General features: G+C 33.8%; 1 annotated feature.

Moving 5' to 3' along the window:
* Window positions 462-688: a silencer, noted in NCBI's record as "fragment chrX:26622679-26622905 (GRCh37/hg19 assembly coordinates)". NCBI's record gives its function as "represses an EF-1alpha promoter that drives an FKBP-Casp9 reporter gene in an ReSE screen in K562 erythroleukemia cells {active_cell/tissue: K562}" and the evidence as "EXISTENCE:reporter gene assay evidence [ECO:0000049][PMID:32094911]".

The raw sequence follows: 6,485 nt of genomic DNA on the forward strand, positions 1-6,485 counted from the left end.
AAAAAAGCAGCTTCTGACATCCAGGCATTGGGCTGACACTCACCAGTAGGCCTCAATGTTATTACAATTAGGTAAGCTGGTTTGATGCTCATGGTTAGACCATGTTGTTTCCTTTGTGATTTTAGCAGCAAGTATACAAAGTGCCAGGAATGTGGTCAACACTCAACAGATATTTGTAGAATGAAGGGATTAAATAAACAAGTGAATAAATATATTTAAAATGAAATTGCATAATATGGATTTTTGTATTCTAATTACAGCACACCTGGGGTATATGCATTGTCCAAATTGGGATAAGCCATGCTAGACTTGCCTGAGAATGTTTAAATGTTTGCTAATAATCATTATCTAACTAATTTGGCTTGCATGAACTTCTAATTTAATTTTTTTTTTTTGATGGAGTCTCGCTCTGTCTCCCAGGCTGGAGTGCAGTGGCTTAATCTCGGCTCACTGGAACCTCCGCCTCCTGGGTTCAAGCAATTCTCCTGCCTCAGCCTCCCAAGGAGCTGGGATTACAGGCAGGCACCACCACACCCAGGTAATTTTTTTTTTTTTTTGTATTTTTAGTAGAGTTGGGGTTTTACCATGTTGGCCAGGGTAGTCTCAAACTCCTGACCTCAAATGATCCACCTGCCTTGGCATCCCAATTGCTGGGATTCTAATTTAATTCTTTAAAATTTGCTCCTCAGTGGCTATTTTGTCTTCTAGAAGTATCTAGTTAACCACCCACTGGATTTTGTTTTTCTTGAGAGTAAGGCAGCTTGATTTAGCTCTTAGGATATGTTTCTTACACGACTTTGGTTCCCATCTGAACTTGTCTAAAAGAACAAAACAGTTAAGTGTAGTTTGGACAAGTGAAGGTATATTTTTTCTCAATATGATTTCTTCATTCTTCCAAGTTCAAATTGTTGGCCGCTATTAGTTACCTTAATTGTAGAATTAGCTCTGGAGAGATTAAAGACTGAATATATGCAGCGCTATAATTTTGTTGATAGGTTGAACTTTATTTTACTGTTCTTTTCCTCAGGGCTGTCACGATAGCCTGGTCTTCTGAGTATTTCATGTAACTTTCCATACTTCTCATTTAGGGACATATGTAGGAGAACAATAAAGTATTTGATTGGTATTTATTCTTTCAAAGGAGCCCTGTGAGGGAATACTCCAGGTGGAACATAAGGAGTCATGGTAACAAATGTGTTTTTGCTTATAAATTACCTATAGTTCTTATTTTTTAAATCCATAAAATGTTCTAAATACATATTTTAACTCATGAAGGCTAACTGATCTACTTAAAGTACTTGAATATTCACATTACATCACAACATAGCACTTAGTAGGCCTAGGTTTAAAGGGAGCAAATATGCAATATTCACTAACTATGCTACAATTAACATTTGTAAGAGCACTTTTTTTGATGTTTAAATCATTTGTTCACAGGATAAGCTATCTCGATGGAGAAATATTTAGATTTGTATTCTTTTTATTTAATTTATACTTTGTAAGGATGTATCATTTTAATAAGTAGAAAATATCCGTAATTATTTTTTAACATCACATTCAGAAAAAAAGTGTATATTTATTTGCCTATATCTAAATATGGCTGCTTTGTGGACTTGCTTATGGAATATATACTGTGAAGTATGGAATTACTTTTAAGTAATTTTTGTTTAAAAGATATACCAAAAATGCATACCTTGAACTTACCAATTAATGGTACTACAACTAGGCTTTTCACCTCTGCTAGATTCTCTAAAATATCTTACAGTCCCCTTTGTAGCCCCTTAAGCATACCTACTCTTTTACACCTAGGAGAAGAGAGATAGCCTGAATCTTTATGATTTAAAAAGAGTGATAAGGCCATTTCCTTACCAGAATCATTGCAGAAACATTGTGGAAATTAAGCCACTAACTTCCTGAAACATTCCGAAATATCTGTGAATAATGCATGTTATTAAGGTATACCAAAAAGGAAATAAATAATAAAACAATACAAATAACACTTGTTCTTTGAAACCAAAGTGTTATTTTACCAAGAAGAATTATTTTATGGACTATTAAGACATTCCACTTATTTTCTTCTAAAAAATATTTGGGCAGGGTAAGTTTCAGTTCAAATATAACTATAAAGTCATGAAAGACTACTCTCTTGCCACCTTTCTTTCCTCTGGACCCTCTACCCATGGCATACATATCCTCAATCCAGAAAATTACCTAGTTATTTATTTTTACCTTTAAATAGCAATTTTCAGACTTCCTATTTCTGGTTGGAACTTTTTCAGAAGGATTCCTTAGGAGATAATATCAATATGTGCATAAGATAATTGAATTTTATCACACTTGATTTTGACTCTTCAATATAGTTACCTAAATTATCAAAATTTGGAGTCCTTAATAAATATGGCTGAGACAAGAGCCATTTAGCTTTTTAATGAGAATATTTATAAGACCTTTTAAAATTATAAATTTCAAATATTAAATAACACTTAGACCCTTAAGAATTAGTTGAATCCCTAAATTCAGTATGCAATGTCTTAAACAGGCTATTAATAAGGTTGTCTTTAAAACATTTTTACTTTATTGGTATAGTAATAAAAGGCTAGGTATAATGAAAGGGATCAAGATCATATGTGTTATGTATTTATTTATATTTCCACATCCATGATTGTATGACTAAGTGCAAAAGAACTGAGGTAAGAAATAAAGGTGTTGCAGTATTGTGGACACTGTCAACTGCTTAGATGAACAAATAAACTTTCTCCCAGAACAAACTTCATAACTGAAGAGAAATTGCTGTTTGCATAATCCAAATTGAGGCATACAGGAGCAATACAGGCAAAGAAAATAGAAAGTTCAAATAAAATTTAAGATTTAAAGAGTGGAACAGAGGAAGCAGATCTCAGTGTATATGAACCAGGATTTATATTTAATTCATGAAAACAATGGAAGAACAAACTCACTGGTAGAAGAACAGACACATAGACCAATGAAACAGAATAGATAGCACAGAAATAAAACTGCACATCTGCAACTATTGAATCTTCCAAAAACCTGACAAAAATGATCAATGGGAAAAGAATTCCCTGTTGAATAAATGGTGCTGGAAAAACTGGCTGCTCATATGCAGAAGATTGAAAGTTGACCCCTTCCTTATACCGTACACAAAAATTAACTCAAGATGGGTTAAAGACTTAAATGTAAAAGCCAAAAGTTTGAAAACCCTGGAAGATAACCTAGGTAATACCATTCTGGACATAGGAATGGACAAGGATTTTGTGACAAAGTTGCCAAAAGCAATTGCAACAAAAGCAAAAATTGACAAATGTGATCTAATAAAACTAAAAAGCTTCTGCACAGCAAAACAAACTATCAACAGAGTGAACAGACAACCTACAGAATGGGAGAAAGTTTTAGAAAACTATGCATCCAACAAAGGTCTAATATCCAGCATCTATAAGGAACTTAAACAAATTTACAAGAAAAAAACAACCCCATCAAAAAGTGAGCAAAGGACATGAACAGATGCTTTTCAAAAGAAGACATACATGCAGCCAACAATCATATGAAAAAAGCTCAACATCATCTCATCATTAGACAAATGCAAATCAAAACCACAATGAGATACCATCTCATACCAGTCAAAATAGCTATTATTAAAAAAGTAAAATAATAACAATAATAATAACAATAACAGATTCTGGTGAGGTTTTGGGGAAAAAGGAACATTTACACACTGTTGGTTGGAGTGTAAATTCAGCCATTATGAAAGACAGTGTGGCTATTCTTCAAAGACCTAAAGACAGAAATACCATTCAACCCAGCAATCCCATTACTGGGTATATGCCCAGAGGAATATAAATCATTCTATTTTTAAGTCACATGCATGTGTATGCCCATTGCAGCAGTATTTGCAAGAGCAAAGACATGGAATCAAACTAAATGCCCATCAATGGTAGACTGGATAAAGAAAATGTGGTAGATATACACCATAGAATACTAATGCAACCATAAAAAATAAGATCATCTTCTTTGCAGGGATGTGGATGGAGCTGGAGGTCATTATCTTTAACAAACTAATGCAGGAAGAGAAAACCAAATACCACATGGTCACACTTATAAGTGGGAGCTAAATGATGAGAACACATGGACACATAGAGGGGAACAACAGATACTGGGGTCTATTGGAGGGTGGAGGGTGGGAGGAGGAAGAAGATGAGGAAAGATAACTAACAGGTACTAGGCTTAATACCTGGGCGATGAAGTAATCTGTTCAACAAAACCCTGTGACACAAGTTTACTTATGTAACAAGCCTGCACTTGTACCCCGAAATTAAAATAATAGTTAAAGAAAAAAAACAAACAGCTAACTCTAGATTGGTGAAGTTAGAAGAGTTATTCTGGCCAGTTTACTCTCTTGAAAGTACAAGAAAATAGACTTTATTCTAAAATGAAAAACAAAATAAAACAAAATGGACCCTCATGAAAACCCAATAAAAAATTACTTAACAGAAAAAAGATAATGAGGATCAGAATAATGAATCCACTATGGACACTTAAAGCACAACGAAAATGCATGGCCACAGGCCAGGCACGGTGGCTCATGCCTGTAATTCCAGCATTCTGAGAGGCCAAGACGGGTGGACCACTTGAGGGCAGGAGTTTGAGACCAGCCTGGCCAACATGGCGAAACCCCATGTCTACTAAAAATACAAAAATTAACTGGGTGTGGTGGCGGGTGCCTGTAATCCCAGCCACTCAGGAGGCTGCGGCAGGAGAATCGCTTGAACCTAGGAGGCAGAGGTTGCAGTGAGCCAAGATCGTGCCACTGCACTCCAGCCTGGGCGACAAGAGCGAAACTCTGTCACAAAAAAAGGAAAAAAAAAAAAAAAGGAAAAGAAAAAAGAAAATGCATGGCTACAAACTAGATTTTTAAAAATTAACTTATATTTCACTCTAAAAGTAATTAAGATAATGATAATAGCTGTGAAAGAACAACATGAATTAGAATCAGAATAACTCAGTATTGAGGAGACTGGAGAAAAGGAATATTTGACAAAAGAAGCAGTAAGACTCCAGAAAGAATCATAAAGGAAAAATATTTTATGTATACAAACTAAACTAGAATGAAGAGCAAATGAACACAAAGAATGTTGCCTTATGGAAAATAGTAAATAAAAATAAGGGACTTTTTATCACAAGGAAATGAAAGAAGGACAAAGAAGGACTGAGAGAAACATGGCAGAAATGGAGGATATGTGATGGTGAGCCAACACATGTGTACGCCCCCTTACTCCCCAAGTAAAGCAATTAAAGAAGACAAAAATTTTAATCCATTATGCAAGAAGTATTTTCTGAAATATTTTTTAAAAACACCAAAACTCTAGTACACACCACATACTTGGACAAAAAAAAAAAAAAACAACCAAACCTATCAACACTGAGACATACTTTAGTAAAACTATTGGACTATAAGAAAAACATTTAAAAAGGAATTTCAGACAAAAATCTGCCACATGACTTTGAAAATGCAAAGGAAAGATAGACTGTTATCAGCTTTTTCCAACAGTAATATATCATACAAGAAAGCAATGGAGATGCCTAATATACTTTGATAAAGAAAAGGTGAGCTAAAAATTCTACATTCAACCAATAATTATTTAAATGTTAAGTCCAGAGGCAATCTTTTGAATATGCAGTTACTCAGCAAATGTTTTTTACCATGGGACTTTATCTAGTAGCATACCAGATAATAAACTTTATATACCCCAAGTGACTAGAGAGATATTGACTTAAAGAGTGGTAGTGAGAATCAAGTATTATCTATACTTAAAATCATAGGATAGTTATAAGGATGTCAATAAAATATGTAATGACTATATGTTCTCAAAATACGGATGAGCTCAAGTATGAAAAATGGAAAGAGAATGGGGAGAGTACATGAAAAACAGAATAAACTTGCAGGTTGTTTATGTGTTAAACAAAAGAAAAAGTAATTTATTTGATATCAGATACTGAGAGAAATGGAGGAGATGAGGAAGCAGCTAAAACTAATTAACATAGTTGGGAACCAGTAAATAAACACAAAGTAAAGAAGGGACTAAGGAGACTATGGAAAGGTATTAATATAAAGGTAATAATTATTACAAAGATCCAAAACTTCCTAAATTCCAAAAGATATTGCAGAGAGAGAGAGAGAGAGATCAATAAGTGTAAATGAACTGAATTCATCTATTAAATATATATGTGTTTTCACATTGGCCAACAATGTTAAATTCAATAATATGCTGTATACAACAGACGAACTTAAAGCAAATAAATTGAGAAAAATCAAAAATTAAAATATAGGCGAAAAGAATGTAGACATCAGAAAAACTTCTCTAAATTTTCAGTTTTTCTTTTTTTTATTATTATACTTTAAGTTCCAGGGTACGTGTGCACAACGTGCAGGTTTGTTACATATGTATACATGTGCCATGTTGGTACATTTA

The sequence above is a fragment of the Homo sapiens genome, chromosome X (genome assembly GCF_000001405.40).
Source record: "Homo sapiens chromosome X, GRCh38.p14 Primary Assembly".
Classification (NCBI taxonomy): Eukaryota; Metazoa; Chordata; class Mammalia; order Primates; family Hominidae; genus Homo; species Homo sapiens.